General features: G+C 41.5%; 1 protein-coding gene and 1 pseudogene across 13 annotated transcripts in view, besides 1 other annotated feature; both read right to left on the bottom strand.

Moving 5' to 3' along the window:
• CNIH3 (cornichon family AMPA receptor auxiliary protein 3) overlaps nt 1-24,448 on the bottom strand; it is a 305,915-nt gene that overhangs the window by 149,083 nt on the left and 132,384 nt on the right. The window contains exon 4 of one of the 13 annotated variants that reach the window (NR_136294.2): nt 8,205-8,308. The exons of the other annotated variants lie outside the window; for them this stretch is intronic. The gene's annotated coding sequence lies outside the window, so the exon portion shown is untranslated. The remainder of the gene's footprint in view (nt 1-8,204; nt 8,309-24,448) is intronic. 13 annotated transcript variants of the gene reach the window in all.
• Nucleotides 15,884-17,071, bottom strand: AKR1B1P1 (aldehyde reductase family 1 member B1 pseudogene 1; annotated as a pseudogene).
• Nucleotides 19,210-19,709: an enhancer, noted in NCBI's record as "H3K27ac hESC enhancer chr1:224759465-224759964 (GRCh37/hg19 assembly coordinates)". NCBI's record gives its function as "activates a minimal SCP1, AML or CMV promoter by ChIP-STARR-seq in naive H9 embryonic stem cells {active_cell/tissue: H9 hESC(naive)}" and the evidence as "EXISTENCE:reporter gene assay evidence [ECO:0000049][PMID:30033119]".

Raw genomic sequence — 24,448 nt, 5'->3', positions numbered from 1 at the left:
CTCTTCAGTAAGACCAAGCTCTTCTCAGCTGCCAATTGTAAGACCCAGAGGTACATAGAGAAGTTGAGTAACTTTGCCAAGGACACACAGCTAGTAAACAGTGGGGTTAGGATTCAAACCCAGGGAGTCCCACTGAAGAGCTGGTTCTCAAACTTTGCACTTCACAAAGGAGCCAGTGGAGAATATAAATGACTTCCCAGTACTGAGAGAACAGTGGCTGGAATAGAGGAGAAACTTTACAGAGGACCTAACCATTCAACCACAGCTAGAAGAACAGGTAGAATTCAGATATGTGAAGCAGTGCAGGGTGTCAATGTGCATGTTGTTTTCATTGATCACTAAACAGACCTGCTTAGCTAGAGTGAATAATAAGTGAAACTGGAAATATACTTAGAAAGGTAAGATCAGGTAGCCTTGAATGCTAACCTGGATTAAATAAAAACAAGTTCAAGAGAAGCTTAGATCTACCTTTTCCAATTGCCTCCCACATTATGTTTCTATATATGTAACTTTAGGGGTGGGAGCTGTTTCTGAGGCAAGAACCCTATAAGTCTTACAGGAAAAAGGAATGTACAAATGAAGCCCCAGAAGTGTGACCAGGCTCTGGACACAGAGGCCAGAAATATAACCAGGATCTATCTCTTGGGTGGGTTGCGGGGGCGGGGCGGTGGGGAAGAAGGGCCAAAAGCACAAAGGCGTTAGCTATGATTTGAATGTGTCCCCCAAAAAGCACATGTTAGGAACTTAATCCCAAATGCAATAGTGTTGGAAGATGAGACCTAAGGGGGGGTGTTTAGGTCACGAGGGCTCCACCCTCATGAATAGATTAATGCCAATTATAAAAAGGGCTTAAGACTGCAAGTTTGGTCACTTGCTTTCTCTTGACCTTCCACCTTCTGCCATGTGATGATACAGCAAGAAGGCCCTCACCAGATGCTGGTGCTATGCTCTGGGACTTCCCAGCCCCAGAACTGTGAGATAATAAACTTCTGTTCTTTATAAATTACCCAGTCTCAGGTATTCTGATATAGCAGCACAAACAAACTAAGATAAAGTGGAAAAAGGAGACTGTTTGGCATACATACACATCCATGCTCAGGTTAAGCTGGACAGCAGTTACACAAAAAAGGGAGGAAGTTATAGAGGCAAAACAACCCAAAGGAACCAATAAGCCAAAAATCTCTCATACAGCCATATAGTGGAATTTGGGCTTTAATCATTCATTCATTTATTCAACAAACATTTATTCATGGTCTACTTTATGCCAAGTACAGCACTGGCATTTAAAAGTGGATATCAGCTGGTGTGATGGCTCGCGTCTGTAATCCTACCACTTTGGGAGGCTGAGGTGGGTGGATCATGAGGTCAGGAGTTTGAGACCAGCCTGGCCAACATAGTGAAACCCCATATCTACTAAAATTACAAAAATTAGCCAGGCCTGGCGGCTCATGCCTGTAATCCCATCTACAGGGGAGGCTGAGGCAGGAGAATTACTTGAACCCCAGAGGCAGAGGTTGCAGTGAGCTGAGATTGTGCCACTGCACTCCAGCCTGGGTGACAGAGCAAGACTCCATCTCAAAAAAAAAAAGTGGATATCCTGATGAACTGGTAACTCTCAAACTTCCAAGCAAAACAGTAAGGTCCCACTGGTAAGCAACCTCTTTAGAGGAGCTGGAAAACCCCCTGCCTGCCCTGGGCTCCACTTTTCCTTTCTCAATCCCATGCTGCAAGTGAGCTACAGAGCCACCCAAAGAGCACTCAAAGAAGTGCTCTCACTAAGACAAAGAAGTCCTTTCCCTGGGGCTGGGGAGTTGTGTGCATATTTTGGATTAAAAATCTTTTCTTCTCATCAAAAGTTGAGTTTGGACAGAAATATCACATTAAGCTGTAGAGCAGCATCAGAGATAAAGGTGTTTGAATGTCAACAATTCATGCAAAAAGCAGCCCTGGCCAAACCCCCTAGGAGTCAGCTTTGAAAAGAGGCTGCAGGCTGCAGCTCACTCAGAACAAAATCAGTTTTGCCTGCACATAGAAAAGTACGTGACTTACCCTCATTTAGCCCCAGATATTCCCTCTCATCTGAGAAGACTAAACCATTATTTTGATTCAGAATGTAGACTTATTATAAACATGATGCTGTGTGTTTCTATAATGTGTTAAATCTTCAAAGTGCCTCATAGTCACAGTGAGGACAGGAAGTGAGCATGGAGACATTGGGAATTCAACAGTCTTTTGTGGCAGGGTCTGGGAATAGCAACGTGGTGCATTTCTGTGCCTGTGAATCACTCAGCTGCCTTACTATCCAGGCAGAGGTCAGACAAAAGCAGATCCAAACTTAGAAAGTTTCAACTCGCGCATTGCAGGTTTTCTTAACAGCAATAACGGTGCTCGCTTAGCCACTTTGATTTCCAGAGCTCAGACTCCTCAATCCATTCTCGCAGGGATCTGGGAAGTTGATAGATGTCATGCTTCTCAGTAAAATGGCTCCAAAAAAAAAAAAAAACAGGGGGTCAGGAAGAAGGTAGTAGCTTGGCCCATGGCTTAATGCTAATCACCTCCAGACTTAAGAACAGAAACTTTGAAGGCCAGCCTTTACTCCCACAGCAGGTTCCAAAGCCTGAGAAGCTGGTCCTTATTATCCAAAGTCTTTTTTTTAACTCCTAGAATCAGCTCCATCAAGTGGAGCTAAGAAATAAGTAAGTGTTGCCTAGTGCTGCCAGCAAAAAGAAAAAAGTGCAAAAATCCAGCTAATTACTCAGGACATGTTGGCAGACACCTCTGCTTGTCAGATTCCTGGTTGTCTGAATGGTTATTTACATCTGAATTAATTTACACTATGGGAGTTTAAATGCTTGTTTTTTTTTTTTAAGTAGTGGCAAAGATCCTACCAGAAACTATGCTGGTTCCAAAAATGTCTTCTTCATCCTTGATTTATTCGTGGGCATAGGACACTCTGCCATTGGGCCATGACTCTTGTGCTTGGAAAGATCTTAAATGGGAATTCTTACGCAGACATCATCATTGGAGCCCCTGCCGTCCTCCTTGCTCCATGAGCTGAGCCCACTCCATAGATCTCACACTCCTGCCGTATGCATGTCTGAGGCAAAGGCCCTAAGAAAATCCAGACAGCCTTTAAAATATACAAGAAAGCTATTGAGGAAAAATTTTAAAAATTATTCATACATTCTGAATTTTTTCATTCATTCAACAAATATTCAGTGAGATGACACCGTGTGTTAGAATTGTCCTATTAGGTCTTGCAGGCACAGATATCCAAATATATGTCAAAAGATAGTTGATGTCATCTCTACCCACAAGAGGCTGACAGCTCAAGGGAGGGAACGAACATGGGGGTGGGTGGGAAACACAATAGAATACAGCAAATATCTAGGAATGGGGTGAGATGGGAGTTGACATTTAGATACTGTAACTAAAATAGGCAAAAACTAGAAATGCATTTCCATAACTGGTCTCATCTTGTAATTAATTATTTGTTAGTTTTTAGGTTTTGTTTTGTTTTTTTTTTTAATGGAAACAGGGTCTCACTCTGTCACCCAGGCTGAAGTACAATGGTGCAATCACAGCTCACTAAGGCCTTGACCTCCTGGCTCAAGCAATCCTCCCACCTTGGCCTCCTGAGTAGCTGGGACTGCTGGCACACACCACCATGCCCCGCTATTTTTTTAAAACTTTTGTGTAGAGATGGGGTCTCCCTATGTTACCCAGGCTGGTCTCAAACTCCTGGGCTCAAGGGATCCTCCCACCTTGGCCTCCCAAAGTGCTGGGATGACAGGTGTAAGCCACTATGCCCGGCCTGTGATCAATCCTTAATGACAACATACACATATACGCACACCACACAGATCTTAAATTTTTCAATAAAAAGTAGCCCAGGCTCTTCTAGGTTAGAAATACCTCTTTCAGGTAAACATGCACTCATTTTCCAAGGTCAAATTCTCTATCAGGTGTGCCTTCCCTTCCCAAAGGAGCTCTGGCCAGACACCCGCTTCCTTCCCAAGAGGGTATCTCTGTGCAGGCAGAAACTTCCTACCTTGATGGCATCAAGCATGAATTCTGTGGTCCACACACTGTCCCCTGGCTTCTACTGGGTTGCTTCTGGTCTCATCTGGACACCGATGTCCTACTGCAGGGTCCTAGCTGATATGTCTTGGTGTCTTGATGTTCTGGGATGTTGTGTTGACCCCAAAAGCTGCAGTTCTGAAGTCTGGGGTCTCTGGTTCCCCTCCCAAACCTTGACTCTTCACTATTGCCTGCTCCTTCAGCGCACCTGCATTCTCACTCAGGCCTGTGTAAATTGTGAATCCCACAGGCAGAACACGTGGGTATAGGCAACCAGGCACATGACCCAAAGCTCCAGCACTGTCCTGCTGCTTCCACACAATTTTCACTTTCTAGGGCTGTTGCAACAAATTACCACTAACTGGGTGGCTCCAAACAACAGAACTTTATTCTCCTTCCCACTGTTCTGAAGGATGGAAGTCTAAAATCAAGGTGTCAGCAGGGCCATGCTCCCCTGCCAGTCTTTAGAAGAGAATCTTTCCTCAACTCTTCCAATGTCTAGCAGCTCTCCAGTTTCCTCGGCCTGTGGCAGCATCACTCCAATCTCTGCCTCCATCTTCCCATGGCCTTCTTTTCTGTGTCTCTGGGTGTCCTCTCCTCTTCTTATAAGGACACCAGTCATTGGATTTAGGGCCTACCCTGAATCCAGGATGATTTTATCTCAAGATTCTTAACTAATTACATCTGCAAAGACCCTATTTCCAAATAAGGTTACATTCTGAGGTTCTGGGTGAACACAAACTTGGGGGACACTGTTCAACCCGCTATACACATCATGCTGAGACAACGGTCCTGCCAAATCCAGACTTTCTCTAAGGCTCGAAGTCTCCCAGGGAAGCAAAGTACTGGCCTGATATGGTTTGGCTGTGTCCCCACCCAAATCTCATCTTGAATTCCCACATGTTGTGGGAGGGACCCAGTAGGAGGTAATTGAATCACGGGGGCAGGTCTTTCCCATGCTGTTCTCATGATAGTGAATAAGTCTCATGTGATCTGATGGTTTTAAAAAGGGGAGTTTCTCTTGACAAGCTTTCTTCTCTTGTCTGCCACCACGTGAGACATGCCTTTCACCTTCTACCATGACTGTGAGGCCTCCCCAGCCACATGGAACTGTGAGTCTATTAAAACTCTTTCTTTTGTAAATTGCCCAGTCTCGGGTATCTCTTTAACAGCAGCATGAAAACGGGCTAATACATAGCCCTAAAGTTCCCAAAGTCCCCAGATCATCTGGTTGTTACCAGGTCCCTTTTCAAGGTTCAGATCCCATGGGGAGAACCAGATCATTCACATGAAAACTTCCCTCTCAGTCCCATTCATTTCTGCAGTACTAGGGGAAGGAAGTCTTTCCTTTTTCCTCCATGATGTCCTGAGTTCTCTCTTCATTCATGGCTCTTGCCATGTAGGGGAAAATGTGTGTCTCTAGAAAGCCCTTTTCTCTTTCAACGAAGTATGGCTTTCAAGACTAATGCTGCTTATGGATTTTTAAAAATCTAATCTAGTTTGGAGTTTAAAGCTAAACCACGACCCCTGTGCTATCTACATCCTCCTTTGAGCCATTGATTCATGTGTATGTGCAGGAACTGGAGACTTTTAAGAATGAATGGGCTAGGTGCGGTGGCTCATTTAGGTTTGTAATCTCAGCACTTTGAAAGGCCAAAGTGGGAGGATCACTTGAGCCCAGGAGTTCAAAACCAGCCTGGGCAACATAGTGAGACCCCCATCTCTACAAAAAAAAAAAAGTTTTTAAATTATCCAGGTGTGGTGATGTGTCTGTAGTCCTGGCTACTTGGGAGGTTGAGGCAGGAGGACCGCTTGAGCCCAAGAGTTCAAGACTGCAGTGACCCATGATTTCATCACTGCAATCCAGCCTGGGCAATGGAGCAGGGCCCTGTCTCAAAAATAAAAAAAAAAAAAGAATAAAAGAACTGTGCTTTGGTTTAATATCACCAGTATATTACTGGGCACGTGTAGGATATGGCTCTGGAAGCACACATGTGGTCCCTTGAAGAGACTATGTCCTACGCATCTTTAGTCACAACATCAGCACAGTGCCTGGCATATGGCAGATGCTCATTACGTATGTTGAGTGATTGCGGGGTCTGGAAGGCTTTGCGGTAGAGGAGACATTGAGACGTTAAGACAGGCCTGGAAAAATAAGCGAGTAGGATTCGATCTAGGGAAACGGGCAAGGAAGGCATTATGAACAAAGGGCAAGTGCAAAGGCTTGGAGGCATGAACAAGAATGACATCTCAGGAATGGTAAGGAAAAGTAAGTTGCAGCAAACCCTGAAGGACTTGAGTGATGTGCTACAGAGCTGGGGTCTCAATGCGAGGGAAATGGAGAGAGGTGATGCAGGCTGAAAACTGAATGCTCTTCAAGAGTTTTTCACATGAATTCATGCTTTATTGGTCTCTAACAGATTATTGAGTAAGTCAGCACGTTTGAGGGGTTCTTTAGAAGCTGATGTCAGCAGATGTAGCTGTGTCGTTCCCATTCCTAAAGATGTCCCTTGGTCCTATCCTCATAGACTTAATGCTGGGCCAACCCATTAGGCATTGCTGAGATTCTCATTTTCTTATCTTACACTAAGTCTGGGGAAAACACTACATAGTCAACTAGGCCACAAACTGGAATATTCCAAAGAAACAAATTACAAATTATTTCACAACCAAGAAATGCTTCATTTTTCCAAAATGGTCAATGCAAATCAAAATGCTGAATCATGCAGCCAGAAAAAATATATCAAATGATAAATGCATTTCTGCATCAAATTCAAGTTTTGCCATCCTGATGACTGCAAATGTGAATATTTTTACCAGTCTTTCTTCCATGACAAAAAGAATCAGCTTCCCAAAAAGGAAGGATTTACATCAGCACTTTTTCTCTGTCTTTTAGTGAAATATTGTCTACTCCGGCATAAAGGGTTTGTGATAGAACTGGTTATTTATTTTTCTAGCCCCCAAACAAAACTTAAATCCTGTTTGTCCAAAATCAAGAAGTGCCTTGCTGTCCTAAATACTGCCAGGCATAATATTGTCTTTAAGTCTACCGTTATTCTAAGGATGTTCAAGGACAAATTAGACCTGGAATGTTTATGGGGACTGTATACTTCTCTATGCAATAGAAACTTGAAAATTTCTTTTTTCTAATGCCTTTGTTCTGTGTATTGTAACTTTCTTTTAAAGAGCAGAATTGAACAAAACTCAAGCTGAGATTTATAATAAAATAGCTTTTAAAACATGAATAATAATAGTGTCAGCAATAATGATGTGCAAAAATATCCTTTTTAAAAGTTGTCCGCTAAGTTCTCAAAGAACTATGCTGTCAGTGAAATTATTTCCAAAGAAAGGGCTATAAGTGAGGCTAATGCAGTGGTGAGTGAGTTGCAGAACTTAGCTATGCTAATGTGGAAAATACGACAGGAAGTGGGGTATGGTCCAGAACATCACATACATTGGAGCAGCGACTGGTCTAATATCAATTCATGTCTTGCTTATTCTTGTATTACAAAGTGTTTCAAATTCAACCCTTCTTATCCATTTCCTTTGCCACCACCAGAAATCCAAGTTCCATTACATTAAAAGTAGGCCATTACAATCACCTTCTATTTCATGGATTTTTAGCCAGGGAATATAACAAAATTGGCTGAAGAACTCTTCCACATACAGACTCCATAGGCTCTACAACAGACCTACTGAATCAGAGTCTCCAATGGTAGGAGCCCCAGCATTGTTAGTTTAAAATGTTCTGCAGGTAAGTCTGAAGTGCATCTCTGATTAGGAATCACTAAACCAAACAACTTGGTGTCTAAACTCACCCTCCACCATAGCTTACCATCCTCTTGTTATCTTCCCTAAACTATCTATTTGATGATGTCCAAAATCATCAGAAATTTCTAATAATGAACGGGAGAGTTGATGGGTGTCTCTTACCTGCTGATCCCCATATGCAACTCAGATTTTATCCCTCACTCTCACATAGTGTGGCCAAACTGGTCCACTCTGGTTGACATTTCCACCATTGAGCTGGGATTCATGACATTCCCTCACCCGGCATGGCCCTCTCCCAAACACACATTCACCAATTGCTCCCTAATACACACCCCTAGTCCTTTGAAACTCACCTCAAGTCCTGCCTCCAGAAAGCCTTCTGTGGTCACTCACGACTCTGTCCACTGCCACAGATGTTCTCTCCATCCTGTGAAATCTTACAGCACTTTGCATGTGCCTGGGGACAGTAAGTACATACTATGAAAGAGGAGGAAATATCTAAGAGCACAGACTCAAGTGGACCCAGAATAACTTCTTTAAAATGTAATGTTTTTACAAATGGAGATGAATGTTGCATCTCCATAATCCACTTATGGAGTCCACTAATGCCCCAGGAAGATGGCCCATGTATATTCTGAAGCTTCTGTAAACTCCCAGCACATGCTGTGTGCCCCAGCAACACATCCACTCAGGCAATGTGGCCGAGTACCATGGAGAGAAAGGACTCAACAAAGATGTCTGAAATAATGAACAGATAAGTGAATCAACAAAGGCAAATTCTTTTTCCCCTCTATTATTAAGAGCAATTTAGATACATGGCAGCTCCAAACCTCCGAACTTATAGACCTGACCATCTTAGTATTGAGAAAAACAAAGTCCTCCATATGGCAGGTCTCAGCCTCTTTAGAAGGCATTTGGAACACCTTCTGATTCCTGAATATGCCACTTGGAGTCCCCCACGCTGATTTCAACAGGCTTCTCAAAATATTTCTTCCAAACTCATACTCCTTCTCTCCAAGAAGAATTTGGGTGAATAAAGTGTCTTCCATTTCATTACATGTACACGTAAGAAGGAAGTTCTGCGGTGATTGATCCAGGTGTATTGCACACAGGCTACCGCCCCAGGCACTTCAAAATCCATCACCATTATTTTAGATTAAAAATTAACTGGTAGCTACATTAGGGAGGAAAAAAAAAACCGTGCTCTGTTCTTTTCTATCTTTATGTAACATACTTGTCATGGACAAACCCTACAAAAGAAAAGCCCAGCCACATCTGTCTCTGCACATAATAAGAAAATGTTTACCTCTAAAATTCTGTTCACACACCAACACACTTTAAGAACTGGCCATCTGTGGCTACCTATGGACTATAAATAGCAGTTAAAAGAAATAAATAAACCCAGGAACAGCTGGAGGAGGCACAAAGAAAGGATGAAGGGAACCCCAGGCCCTCAGCATGTCAAAGCCAAACAGCTGAATTGTATGTAAATATTATGAAAGAAAAGGCAAAGGTTGTCAGGAAGAGGAACCAGCTTCCACAGCCCTCCCCACACCCCCTCTGTCCAATTTTTGTTATCATGATTCTTTCCCTATTTTGTGCATGTCCACCCCCATCACCTGTACAGATAAATGTTTAATGTTACAACCTCACGCACACTCAGTCTGATTCCAGAGATGTGAAAAGGCATCCAGGATGTGCAGCTGCAGCTACCTGCTCTCCAGGCTTCCCACAGTCCTCCTTATCCCCCTGTAATTTAGGTATGAAGAGTCTGTCTCTCAAAGTCTAGGTTTATAAGTGACTTAAATGTTATCCCCAAAGATCCTTGGCAAAGGAGATGAGCTAAATTTGACCTTAAATCATCTTCCGAGAAAAGAAAAATGATTCCTGTCACCTTTAAAAAGCCAACCAATCAATAACAAAATAATGGGCTCATAAGAATGACAATTCTTTTTTTCTCTCATGATGCCAACTATATGCAATAGCACTGTTTTCAAAAGAAGCACAATTTACTTCTCTTAAAGGGAGCCAGTGAGGAGGTATCCAACACGCTTTGGGCTCTTCTTATTGTATTCTCAAGAGCAAGGAGAAATTTGTCATGTGTCTGATTATTATTTGTACCACTCAATTAGTCAATACACACAATCAGATTAATCAAGACATAGTAGAAACCTGTGAAAAAGAAACAGGAAAGGAAAAGGTTTTCAAAAGGGTAGAAGAAAGTAAGAGAACTGATTAGGAATCACTAAGCAATGATTTCCGGTCTTTTCCCTGTAATGATGCCTTTTTTACTTCAAGAAATGTCAGGGTTCTGGTTAAAGATGGAAGACTAAACACACTCAGCCTCCAATCTCTCCAAAAAAACCATCAAAACCGGAAAAAGACTTGGGTAAAGCCTAAATCCCCAGAACAAAGTGAAAAGGACAAAGACAAAAGCAACATGGTATGAAAGGAAAATAAAATTTCAGGACCCCAAATTCACTATGCCAACAGGGAAAAATTAAGCTTGGAAGCCAAGTTACAAAAAAACAAAGAAAACAATTGCATTTTCTTTTGTTCCTAAACTGAGAGCCACAGATAGAGGCCATATGTTTCCACTGGGGGCCTCCCTCACCCTGACAATGTAAATTAACAGCCTATCCTCATGGTATGGGAAAAGAGGAGACTAGAATTGTCCTCATCTACCCCAAGATGAATGCATATTTGACTGCTTTCTCTACTCTGTGTTTATCTTATGTAAAGTGCAGATTCATTAAACACAAGGTGAATACATAATTAACTGTTCCCTCTACCCCTCCTTTTCTTTTTTTTTTTTGAGACAGAGTCTCGCTCTGTCATCAGGCTGTGGCCACTGCAACCTCCGACTCCCTGGTTCAAGCGATTCTCCTGCCTCAGTCTCCCAAGTAGCTGGGATTATAGGCATGCACCACCATGCCTGGCTAATTTTTGTATTTTTAGTAGAGACAAGGTTTCACCATGTTAGCCAGGATGGTCTCGATCTCCTGACCTCATGATCCACCCACCTTGGGCTCCCAAAAGTGCTGGGATTACTGGCCTACCCCTCCTTTTCATGTGTAACATGTGGATTCAGAAGAATGCGACCTCCTTTTTTCGCTTTGCCCTTTCCCCTTTTGCCCACTTTTCCGCTTTAAATATTGAAGCCCTTGAAATCCTCTTCAGAAAAAGCACAGGCTACAGATCCTACGGTGGCTTATGTCTCCTTTTCCCAGGCATGTCTTCAACCTTGGCAAAATAAACCTCTACATTGGTGGAGGCTTGTGTCAGATACTTTTTGGTTTACAATGGTAACGGAAACTGGAAAGCAGATGGATGAGTGGCTGATCACTGACTTAGAAGGCTGAATCCTAAACCAGCCCAGGTACCTTTGGGAGTATGGATGAAAGTGGGGGCCAAATATAAGGGGTCTGACTCAAAGTCTATTTAAGATATAGTTAGATACTCCCCAGCCCGTCATTCCCTCAGCACTTGGCTGAAGACTAGATGTTTACTCTCTTATTGGGGTAAAATGTCAGGATTCTAGGCACAGCTGAGGGTAGGGATAACATATTAAAAACATGAGCAAGGAATCTGTTGAAGATTTACAGACTGATTTCGAGACACTCCCCACCAACATCCACCCCAGGCTTATGTTCACTCTGTCTTTGTCCGTTTGTGTTGCTAGAAAGGAATACCTAAGGCTGGGTATAAAGAAAAGAAAAGGCTTATTTAACACACAATTCTGCTGACTGGAACACTGGGCATCTGGTGAGAGCCTCAGGCTGTCTCCAATCATGGCAAATGGCAAACAGGAGCTGGTCTGTGCAAAGCTCATGTGGCCAGAGAGGAAGAAAGAGAGAGGGGGGGAAAGTTCCAGGCTCTTTTTAACAACCAGCTCTCTCAGGAACTAACAGAGCAAGAACTCACTCATTACCATGAGGACGACACCAATCCCTTCCTGAGGAATCCACCCTCATGACCCAAACATCTCCCATTAGACTCCACCTCCAGCACTGGTGATCAAATTTCAGCATGAGGTTTGCAGGGGTCAAATATCTAAACCATAGTACACTCAGTCCCTAGACATTGTCAGCCAGACTTTTACCATCTAGATGGAACACTGGAGGAGCCTTCCTTGCAGAATCAGATCCCAATACAAATGACCTAGAGATACTGACATAAAGAGATTTGTCAAAGAAGTTCTTCAGCCAGACCAGCCTAGTAAAACCCACATTTGACAAGTCACACCCAACATGCTCAGAGTTTCCAATGGACTCTATGGAGACACCACTCAAATACAATGGGCTGAGACTCATTGCGGCATTTGAGGAAAACCTTTACAATGAAAGACAGAGGCCAAAATAAATAAACAGAAAACAACAACTTGGAGGAAACAGAGCTTATGAAAAGACAAAAAGGAACCTCAAAAATGGCGTTCTTAGAAATTAAAAAAGATGACAAGATGAATATCTCAAGGGCAAGATGTTAAAATGGAAGAAATCACTCAGAAATAGAGCCAAAGGCAGAGAGAGAAAACAGAAAGAAAAAAAAAAAAAGAAAAAAGAAACATGATCAGTTCAGGAGGTCCAACATCTGAACAAAAAATTTCAATAGAGTTGTTCTCTACTCTCTACATGAAAAACAAGACATCGACAAAGAAATAATTGAGATATCCCTGGATGGAAAACATGAGTTTCCAGATTGAAAGGGCCCTCTGAACTCTCAGCACAACAGATGAAAACACAAAAATACTCTGTGAAACTTTAGACAACCAAAGAGAAAATCCTACAAGCTTTCAGAAAGAGGAGAAAGACGGAGAAGGGAGTTTCAACAAAAGTATAAAGAATCAGAAAGACATTGAATTAGCAGCAACACTGGAAATTAGAAGATAATGAGGCAGAGAAAGTGTTTTCTAATCCAAAATTTTGTAGAGTCAAACTGTAATTGAGTGTGTAGGCAGAATAAAGACATTTTTAGGTATATAAGATCTCAAAACACTTCTCATGCAACCTTTATCAGGGAGATACTAGGTACTAGTACCTACACCAAATAATAGTACCAGTCACCAAAATGAGAGACTCACTAAGAAAGAGAAAGACAATGGATACGGAATACAGGGGATCAAAAACAAGGAAGGCAAAGGGAATTTCTAGGATAATGGTGAAGGAAACCCTTAAGATGGCAGCTGTGCAGTAGGCATAGAGCATAAGTAGCCCAGCCTGGAGCAAGTCAGAAGGTTCTGGAATCATCAAGAAGATGAAATTGTTGGAAATACCTAATGTGTTTAAGTACTGAAGGCAGATTTATATCTTGGGAGCAAGTTAGGGAAATAAATTAGTAGTAAGTACAAAGAAAACTAACTACCAAACAGAAAAGGCGAATGTTTAACTTTTTATTTTACCAGTTGGAATAGCTTTTTGTTGTCGTCATTGTTGTTTTTATTTTTTTAATTTTTATTTCAATAGTTTTGGGGGAAGAGGTGGTGTCTGGGTGCATGGAAAAGTTCTTTAGTAGTGATTTCTGAGATTTTGGTCCACCCTTCATCCGAGCAGTGTACACTGTACCCAATATGCAGTTTTTTATCCTTTGCCTCCCTCCCACCCTTCCCTGCAAGCTCCTGCTCATAAGTGAGAACATAGGATGTTTGGTTTTCCATTCCTGAGTTACTTCACTTAGAATAATGGTCTCCAACTCCATCCAGATTGTTTTGAATGCCATTATTTTGTTCCTTTTTATGGCTAAATAGTATTTCATGGTATATGTATACACCACATTTTCTTTATCCATTTGTTGGTTGATGGGCATTTAGGCTGGTTCCATATTTTTACAATTGTGAATTATGCTGCTATAAACCTGCATGTGCAAGTGTCTTTTTCATATAATGACTTATTTTCCTCTGGGTAGATACCCAGTAGTGGGATTGCTGGATCAAACAATAGTTCTACAATACTTTCAGTTCTTTAAAAAATCTCTATACTGTTTTCCATAGTGGTTGTACTAGTTTACATTCTCACCAGCAGTATAAAAGTGTTCTCCTTTCACCACATCCATGCCAATATCTGTTATTTTTTTTTTATTTTTAAATCATGGCCATTCAAATGCAGGAGTAAGTTGGTGTCACATTGTGATTTTGATTTGCATTTCCCTGATAATTACAGTTGTTGAGCATTTTTTCGTGTTGGGCATTAGTATATATATATTTGTTGAGAATTGTCTATTCATGTTCTTTGCCCACTTTTTGATGGGATTATTTGGTTTTTTTCTTGCTGATTTGTTTGAGTTCCTTGTAGATTCTGGATATTAGTCCTTTCTCAGATGCACAGTTTGTGAATATTTTCTCCCATTCTCTGAGTTGTCTGTTTACTCTGTTGATTATTTCTTTTGCTGTGCAGTAGCTTTCTCGTTTAATTAGGTCCCATCTATTTATCTTTGTTTTCATTGCATTTGCTTTTGGGTTCATGAAGTCCTTGCCTAAGCCAATGTCTAGAAGAGTTTTTCCAATATTGTCATATAGAATTTTTGTGACTTCAGGTATTAGATTTAAGTCTTTATCCATCTTAAGTTGATTTTTATATAAGGTAAGAGATGAGGAGCCAGCTTCATTCTTCTACATGTGGCTTGCCAATTATCCCAGCACCATTTGTTAGGGTGTCCTTTGTCCCACTTTATGTTTTTGTTTGCTTTGCTGAAGATCAGTTGGCTGTATTTGGCTTTATTTCTGGGTTCTCTTTTCTGTTCCATAGGTCTACACACCCACTTTTATGCCAGTACCATGTTGTTTCAGTAACAATAGTTTTGTAGTATAGTTTGAAGTCAGGTAATGTGTGATGTCTCTAGATTTGTTTTTGAGTTTTGTGGGTTTGTTTGTTTGCTTGCTTACTTACTCTTGCTTTCACTATGTGGGCTCTAGAAAAGGCAAATATTACCTTCAGAAAAAAACAAAAGGCTTTACAGGAAAGAAATAATAATCATAGTATACTACACGGCTCAGTTGTGAATAGCATTTACATAGGTCATAAGAATGCAAACACTGAATGTTAACTAACCACATGTGAAAGTGAAATGTATAAAGAAAACTAAATCCCTCTCTTCCTTAGTGGGAAATAAGTAGATTATTCCTACTACCAAAAAAGTCAAGAAAGAGCAAGACAAGCATGTTATTTAGAGATATGTAGGTAAATTCCAAAAAATTATAAGTATTTCTGAAGGGCAGGAAATAGAGGGCAAAGTTGGGAATGGAAGGGGGACTCCCATCAAGCTCTTCGCTTTTACTATTTGACTCTTTAAACTATGTACATATATAACTTTTTTTAAAAGGAACTATTTTTAAAGTAAAAAGTTTATGGATACTCCCATGTATATTGACTGTCTCTTGGCTGAGAAAGAACATGATAAAAGCCACACTTTAAAATATACTTGAACTTGTCTACTCAGAGTAGCATTTACATACATTAGAAAAATAGTAGATTCATGTAAGTACAAAACACATAATTGATTCATTCCTAAGCAGTTCTCAGTACATTTATGGATTTCCTCTCCCATAAGGTTTAGTAGTTAAGAGACTTAACTTACCTAAGTCTCAGTTTCCCATAAATGTTACCAAGAATGGATGCAGTTGTTCATCTGCTCTTTGGATGCTGTAAGATCCATATCTTTTTAATAAAGTTCCCTTTTATATGTACTAGCTTGAGTAAGTATCTAATTGTTGCACCCAAACATGACCTGAGAAAAGCAGTGAAGATATATACACTACTCAAAGTTGCCCAGTTGGTAAGTGATAGAGACATGATTTGAAATTAGTACAAAGGCTATTCTACTTTGCTACATATTTATAGATCTTCGTAATTTTTCTTCAGTGAGTTTTTTTTTTTCCACAAAAAGCACATTTATTTGAGGTAAAGAGAAGTCTTGCTGAAAGGATGACATTTCCAAGCAGTCAAAACTCAGCTGTTAGTGGCACTATTTTGACCTGGTAGATTTTGCTTCTCTTTGGTCAGAAAAGGGTATTCAGGTTGTACTTTCCCCAGCTGGGCAAAAAGAAGGGCAAAGCAAAGCTACTCTATTGACAGGGCTCTTCAGATCCAACATCAAGCTAGACACACCCTCGCTGGCCACTCTATAGGTTGCTCTCCCACTGCTGAGTGACACAGGCCATACTACCTTTGCAAGGAAAAAAAAAAATGAGACAGAAAACACGGTATAGGTCACTTGGGGACAAGCAGGCATCCACAGCTTCAAAACTCTTCATGGAAGGGGTAATCCTTGTGGGAGGCACAGCTCACCAAGGCACAGACCCTCCAGTTCTGTTGTAACTGAATAAGGTGGTCATATCCTGGCTGTTCAGTTCAAAGTTGAAGACCTTAAAGTTCTCAGCAATGCATTCTGGTGTCACAGACTTGGGGATCACCACCAAGTTCCTCTGCATGGGGAACCAGATCAGAACCTGGGCTGTAGTTTTATTGTGTTTGGCTGTGATCGCCTTGATCCTGGGATCTTCCAGGAGGGAAGGGTCCTCAGGCTTGGCCCAGGGCCTGTCGGGGGAGCTGAAGGAGCTGTAGGCAGTCACCATGATGCCTTTGGACTGGCAGTACTGGATTAACTTCTCCTGAGTGAGGTACGGGTGGCACTCAATCTGATTAACCACCTACTTATACTTTAAGTCAGGTTTGTTTAAGATCCTCTCAACCTGGAGATGGTTGAAGTTGGAGATGCCAATAGCTTTCACCAGCCCTTCATCCACCAGCTCTTCCATGCCCGCCCATGTGTCCAGAATGTTACTGTTACTGGGAACCACATTACCATTACCTGGCTCATCCAATGGGAAAAATTCCTTCCCAGGCTTGAAGCTGGTTGGCCAGCGAATAAGGTAGAGGTCCAGGTAGTCCAGCTTCAGGTCAATGAGCATCTTCTGGCAGGCTCCTTTCACCAGGCCCTTCTCATGGTACGCTCACCACAGCTTGCTGGTGATGAAGAGCTCCTCACACTTCACCACCTGCTCCCTGAGCTTCTCCCGAATGGCCACCCCCACGTCATTCTCATTCTGGTACACGTGGGCACAGTCGATGTGGCAGTACCCAACATTAATGGCCACCTTCACAGCCTCAGTTACCTGGCCTGGAGGGGAATTCCAGGTGCCTAGCCCCAGGATGGGCATCTTGGTGCCATTGTTGAGCACAATGTGGCTGGCCATGGCTGCTGCACTCTCCAGACCCCCACCCAGAACCATGTACCTCAGTGACTCTTTAAGCAACTTAATAATATTAAAATAGTTATGTCTTTAAGAATGCCTGGTCTAATCAACAATGAAATACTTACTGTGACAGTGGAGCCACTTAATAGATTTGGATTTGCAAAGCCGGTAAGTGGGAGGTTGCTTATTTTCTAGTAGGTACCTGACGTGAAGCAGTGGGTCCTTTTATTATGGCCATAGGGACCCACCTGATTTTCCCAACTATGGATAGGTAGAGAGACTGAAGTAGCATATAGTCTAGTCTACATGCATTTTATGTATAAATATACTATTAAAATGTCAAAAATAAACTATATATTTTCTAATTAGAACATATAAAAAATGGACTCATATGTGTAATCCCAACACCTTGGGAGGCTGAGGTGGGAGGATCCTTGAGCCCAGGAGTTCAAGACTAGCCTGGGCAACACTGTGAGACCCTTTCTCTATAAATATATAATGCTTTTTTTTAAAAGAACATATGAAAAAGGGAAATACCATTTACAAAAAAAGATGGAAGGAACTACAAAGCATCTACGTGCAAGTGAATTACCTTCCTAGTTAATAAGAACTCACTTGTAGCTACCTCTCCTTTACCTTTTTATCACACATTTCCTACCCTGGGAAAAGGTAGGGAGACTACTCCCTTCACAAAGGAAACATGGAAAAAAGACAAACATGGAAAAAAGCTCCCCAAGAATTAGTTTCTCATGCTTGAGTTCTGATATGGGGTGTTATATTTTCACACAAAAAGCCCTGCTGAATTCCTGACTCTGGGTTAATTTGCTGAACTACTATTACCTAGTTCCACTTAATCTCATTCTAGTTTTCCTTATTCTGCCTTAGAAAAGGACCTTTCTTGGACTCCCTCCTATTGATAAGCTAAGTGTCAATAACTTCCAGCCTTATGAAGATCTCCGAGTAGCACACTGCCTAAATTCCAGCTTAGAGTTCCACAGCAAAGGCAGCGGCTGAGCTCGGCTTTTCCTCTATGCCTAGTCAGACCCATTTTCATACATCTCCAAAAAAAGGCTGTACCTTGCACCTTGTGTTTTAAGCCCCCACTTCCTACATACTCTCTTCCTGAGGAAGTAGTAACTAAGAGAAAAGGAAGATTGAATGAAAATAATGAAAATAGAGAATAGAAAAACAATAAAGAAAATCAACAAAACCATAAGTTTGTTCTTTGAAAAGATCAACAAAATTAACAAATCTTTGATGAGACTGACTAAAAATTCGAGAGAAAAGACTCAAGTTACTAAAATACAAAACGATGCTGGGAACATTACTAGTGATATTACAGAAATAAAGATGACTACAAGGCAGTATTATGAATAATTGTATGTCAACAATTTTAATTATTGATTCAATCTACTTAATAATTATAGGTCTAGTAAAATTTTCCATTTCTGTATTAGTCAGTTTTGGTAGATTATGTGTTTCTAGGAATTTTTCATTTCATCTAGGTTATTCAATGTGTTGCACTCCAGTCTAGGCAACAGAGCAAGACCCTGTCTCAACAACAACAACAAGAAACCAACTTAGAAATAAATTTAACCAAGGAAGCAAAAGACTTGCACACTGAAAACTATGAAACATTGCTGGAAGATATAAATAAATGAAAAGACATCCTTTTCTCATGGATTGGCAGACTTAACATTGTTAAGATGACAAGACTACCCAAAGTAATCTACAGCTTGAATACAATCGCTATTAAAATCCCAACAGCATTTTTTGGGGCAGAAATATTAAAAAAAAAAAAAACCCTATCCTAAAATTCATCAAGGGATCAATCTCCAATAATCCTCCAACAGGATTGCTGTAGTAAAGTTTCAATTAGATCAGGGGTGTAGTGAATTCTTTTTTTTTTTTTTTTTTTAAGATGGAGTTTCACTCTGTCACCCAGGCTGAAGTGCAGTAGCATGATCTCAGCTCACTGAAACCTCCACCTCCCAGATTCAAGCGATTCTCATCCCTCAACCTCCCAAATAGCTGGGACTACAGGCGTGAGCCACCTTGCCCAGATAAGTTTTGTATTTTTAGTAGAGACAGGGTTTCACCATGTTGACTAGGCTGGTCTCAAACTCCTGACCTCAGGTGATTCACCCTCCTCAGCCTCCCAAAGTGCTGGGATTACAGACATGAGCCACCACACTGGGCTGTGAATTCTTATAATTCTATGTTGCCTTGGCATCCGTTTTAAATATAAGTTGGACTTCCTCATACCAGAAGTAGAGTTTAGTTGCCTTTGACACAATTTCCAGTTCTCCACCTCCTCCTAGTTCTGCAGTGTGGTTAATCCAGATATCTTCCTTATACAACCACCTCCTGGCGACCACCTCCCTATAAGACAACTAGAGGTAACCTACTTGACTTGCCCCACTAACCCCCACGTCTTACATTGTCTGTGCAGATATGCTGCAGTGACCACCTCTCAGTCACAGCATGACCCCATGGAACTCATGCCTGCTTGCTTTAAACCCACCAGTTAGAACTCCCTGTGGAAAACCTGCTTGGGCAATGCCCTGGACACCAAAAAAGGCTTTGGCCCTCAGGTCCCTCCCTCACCCTCTCTCTTTTGCTTTCCACCCTCTGGTTGCCCCTGCAGGTCCCAGTCAGTGCCCCTCTTCCTGTTGGACCTGCTTGGGGTTTTTTTCTTTGTTTGTTTTTGAGATGGAGTCTCACTCTGTCGCCAAGGCTGGAATGCAGTGGTGCGATCTCGCCTCACTGCAACCTCCGCCTCCTAGGTTCAAGCGATTCTCATGCCTCAGCCTCCCGAGTAGCTGGGATTACAGGCGCCCAGCACCATGCCCGGTTAATTTTTGTATTTTTAGTAGAGACGGGGTTTCATCATGTTGGCCAGGCTGGTCTTGAACTCCTGACCTCAAGTGATCCGTCCACCTCAGCCTCCCAAAGTGCTGGGATTACAGGCATGAGCCACCGCGCCTGGCCCCTGCTGGTTTTATGATGCCCTCTTCTCTCTGTGATCTTTAAGTAATTAAAAACTGCTTCTGTTATTTCATATGTTTTGCTGTGCCACCTCCTCCGTGTCTCACCTGGCTGACATACCTGATCCTAGCTCTCCTCAGGGCAGGCCTCTCCTAAAGAGTGACAATCTTGCATTAGGGCCACTCTCAAAAGAGAGACCTCAAAACGCAATGAGAAGAAAACACAACAAGGGGTTTGGGGGAAATTTGATGGGTTAACCCAAAGTTTACAGAGAAGTGCAAGGGACCAAGAATAGCCAAGACACACTCAAAGGAGAATAAGACAAGAGGCCTTGCCCTATCAAGTATCAAGAATTATTAAAAAGCTCTAGGAATTAAGATAGTGGAGGCACAGAGGTATACTGAACAATGAAATAGAATAGGTTCCAGAAACAGACCCATATGTATATGTACATTTATGACAAAGCTGCCATTGCTCACAGTGTGGAAATTCACGGTGCTGAGAGTACTGAGTATTCACACAGGAAAAAAAAAAAAAGAAATATGATCCTATTTCTATTGGATCTATCCTATTGAACACAAACATCAGTTTCACATAGACTGTAGGCCTAAACATGAAAGGCTAAACTATAAAACTTTTAGAAGATAATATAGGCAATGTGATTATAACATTCAGTAAGAAAGATTGCATACAAAGTTGTTGTATAAATAGTTTATACAAAAATATAAACTATAAAGGAAATGTTTGATAAGTTTGGCTAAGCTAAAATTGGAACATATGTTCACCAAAAGAAACTGTTAGAGAATTTAAAAAACAATTAAAAATGGAGAAGCTATTTGTTGCAACATACAAATGAGGTAGTATCAAAATACATAAAGAAGTCATATAAGTCTATAAGAAAAAGACATCTTAATAGAAAAAGATAGGTGCAGCCATAAAAAAGAACAAAATCATGTCCTTTGTGGCAACATGGATGCAGCTGGAGGCCATTATCCTAAGCAAATTAATGCAGAAACAGAAAACCGAATATCGCATGTTCTCACTTATAAGTGGGAGCTAAACACTGGGTACATGTGGACACAAAGGTGGCAACAACAGACACTGGAGACTGCTAGAGGTGGGAGGGGGAGGGAAGGATTGAAAAACTAACTATTGGGTACTATGCTCACTACATGGGTGACAGGATCGATTGTACTCCAAACTGCAGCAGCGCATAATATACCCATGGAACAAACTTGCACACGTACCCCTTGAATCTAAAATAGAAATTGAAATTATTTTAAAAATCATTAATATTGGCAAGACTTTATCTCTTTAGAGTAGAAGAAACATAAGTATCCATATCCATATGAAAATATGCTTTGCCGGGTGCAGTGGCTCAAGCCTGTAATCCCAGCACTTTGTGAGGCTGAGGCAGGTGGATCACCTGAGGTTGGGAGTTCAAGACCAGCCTGGCCAACATGGTGAAACCCCATGTCTACTAAAACTACAAAAATTAGCCCAGCATGTTGGTAGGTGCCTGTAATCCCAGCTACTCTGGAGGCTGAGGCAAGAGAATCGCTTGAACCCGGGAGGTTGAGTTTGCAGTGAGCTGAGATCGCGCCATTGCACTCCAGCCTGGGCAACAGAGCAGACTCTGTCTAAAAAAAAAAGAAAGAAAATATTCTCAACCTCATTCATAATCAGATAAAAAGAACAAACCACAATAAGATACTATTTCATACCTACCAGACTGGCAAAAGTTTGAAAGTCTGACAAAATCAGGTGTTGGCTATGATGGAAAAACCAGAACACTCACACTGCTGGTGAGAGTGTCAACTGGTACAACCACTTGAAAAATAATTAGAAATAATCTAGCAAGAATGAAGATGCATGTGTCCTGTAATCCAGCAGGTCCGCATGCAGGATTATACCCTAGAGCTCCTGTACGTGTGCACAAAGGGACTCATACAAGAATGATCGAAAAAGTCTTGTCTAGATCGTGTTTTAAAAATGGAAACAATGCAAACATTCATCCACATCTGAATGAATAAACCACACTGTGGTGTATTTATATGCTCTAGCGCCATATAATTCTTATTATAGGAATTAATTACAGTGAAACACAACTACACGGATGAAACTCAAGATCAAATGTCTGAGTAAAACACACAAGTTGCAGAAAATTCATACAGTATGATTCCATTTGTTTAAAGTCCAACAACATTCAAAACTAAACAACATGTCGTTTTGGAATATAGCAAAATGTAAAAAAGCATTTTAGAAAAAAAGTGAACAAGGCCAGGTGCAGAGGCTCACGCCTGTAATCCCACCACTTTGGGAGGCCGAGACGGGCAGATCACCTGAGGTTGGGAGTTCGAGACCAGCCTGACCAACATGGAGAAACCCCGTCTCTACTAAAAATACAAAGCCAGGCGTGGTGGCACATGCCTGTAATCCCAGCTACTCAGGAGGCTGAGGCAGGAGAATTGCTTGAGCCTGGGAGGCGGAGGTTGCAGTGAGCCGAGATCGCTCCATTGTACTTCAGCCTGGGCAACAAGAGTAAAACTCTGTCTTAAAAAAAAAAGAAAGTGAACAATAAACTTCAGGAGAATAGCTACATCTGAGAAGGGAAGAAGACAGATTCTACAGGGCATCCAAAGGTAATGCTGAACACAGGTGTTCACTCTTCTGTAATTCTTTTTATATTTTAGAGACAGGGTCTTGCTCTGTCACCCAGGCTGGAATGCAATGACGTGATCAAGGTTCACTACGGCCCCAAGCCCCTGGGCTCAAGCAATCCTCCCACCTCAGCCTCCTGAGTAGCTGGGACTGCAGGTGTGCACCACACCTGACTAATTTATTTATTTTTTGTAGAGATGAGGTCTCACTATGTTGCTCAGGCTGGTCTTGAAATCCTGGCCTCAAGCAATCCTCCTGCCTTGGCCTTCAGAAGCTCTGGGATTACAGGTATGAACCACCATGCCTGGCCAATATTGTAATTCCTTACACATCACATATATATTATATGAATATTCTCAATATCTAATCAAAACAATTAAATGAGGTGATGACTAAGTAAAACACACAGCTCAGTAGCTGGCATCTATTAGGTGCCCATTCTTCTTCTAAGTCTTGTTTCATTATAAATTTTTTTTGTTTGTTTGCTTGTTTGTTTGAGACAGAGTCTTGCTCTGTCACCAGGCTGGAGTGCAGTGACGTGATCTCGGCTCACTGCAACCTCCGACTCCCTGGTTCAAGCAATTCTCCTCCCTCAGCCTCCAGAGTAGCTGGGATAACAGGCACGTGCCACCATGCCCAGCTAATTTTTGTATTTTTAGTAAAGACGGGGTTTTACCATGTTGGCCAGGATGGTCTTGATCTCCTGACCTCGTGATCCGCCCGCCTTGTCCTCCCAAAGTGCTGGGATTACAGGCTTGAGCCACCGTGCCTGGCCTCATTATAAATATTTTAAAACAAATTTGAGTAAAACTAAGTGGTTTTCTTTCAACTCCAATAATTGCTCTTAGGTGGAAGAATGCCACAGGATCAGACTCTAGGTCTGTTCAGAGTCAAAGACTAACAAGGCTCCCCTACTCCGGGTTCTCGATCTTATAACATCCCAGTGGGGTCATTTATGCCAACTGAACTAAAAATAAACATCTACAACTGTTTCGTCCTTTCCCCTCACCTTGATTTCTACCTGGGTGGTTATCTTTTTGACTAGAAAATAATCCTTTTGTGAAACTATGATGAGAGAAGCCACACCCCTAAGCTGGAAGAAATAAAAATAGAGGCACAGTGGATGCCTGCACAATCACACACTCTCTCGTTTGGGTGCTCTGCATCATCACAAGTTATATTTAGGTTGGTGCAAAAGTAATTTTAATGGCAAAAAAATGCAATTGCTTTTGCACCAACCTAATACAAAAGGCAGACTAGGAGTAAAGATAGTGATCTGCTCACTGCCTGCTCTTGGGGTATCTTCTGGTCCAAATGCTATAAATCTCAGGACACAGGCATGGGCAAAGACTTCATGTCTAAAATACCGAAAGCAATGGCAACAAAAGCCAAAATTGACAAATGGGATCTAATTAAACTAAAGCGCTTCTGCACAGTAAAAGAAATTATCATCAGAGTGAACAGGCAACCTACAGAATGGGAGAAAATTTTTGCAATCTATCCATCTGACAAAGGGCTAATGTCCAGAATCTACAAAGAACTTAAACAAATTTACAAGAAAAAAACAAACAAACCCATCAAAAAGTGGGTAAAGGATATAAACAGGCACTTCTCAAAAGAAGACATTTATGCAGCCAACAAACATATGAAAAAATGCTCATCATCACTGGTCATTAGAGAAATGCAAATCAAAACCACAATGAGATACCATCTCATGCCAGTTAGAATGGCGATCATTACAAAGTCAGGAAACAACTGATG

This window comes from Homo sapiens, chromosome 1, assembly GCF_000001405.40.
Source record: "Homo sapiens chromosome 1, GRCh38.p14 Primary Assembly".
Lineage (NCBI taxonomy): Eukaryota > Metazoa > Chordata > Mammalia > Primates > Hominidae > Homo > Homo sapiens.
The sequence above is the reverse complement of the archived record's forward strand: the minus strand, read 5'-3'. Positions and strand labels throughout refer to the sequence as shown.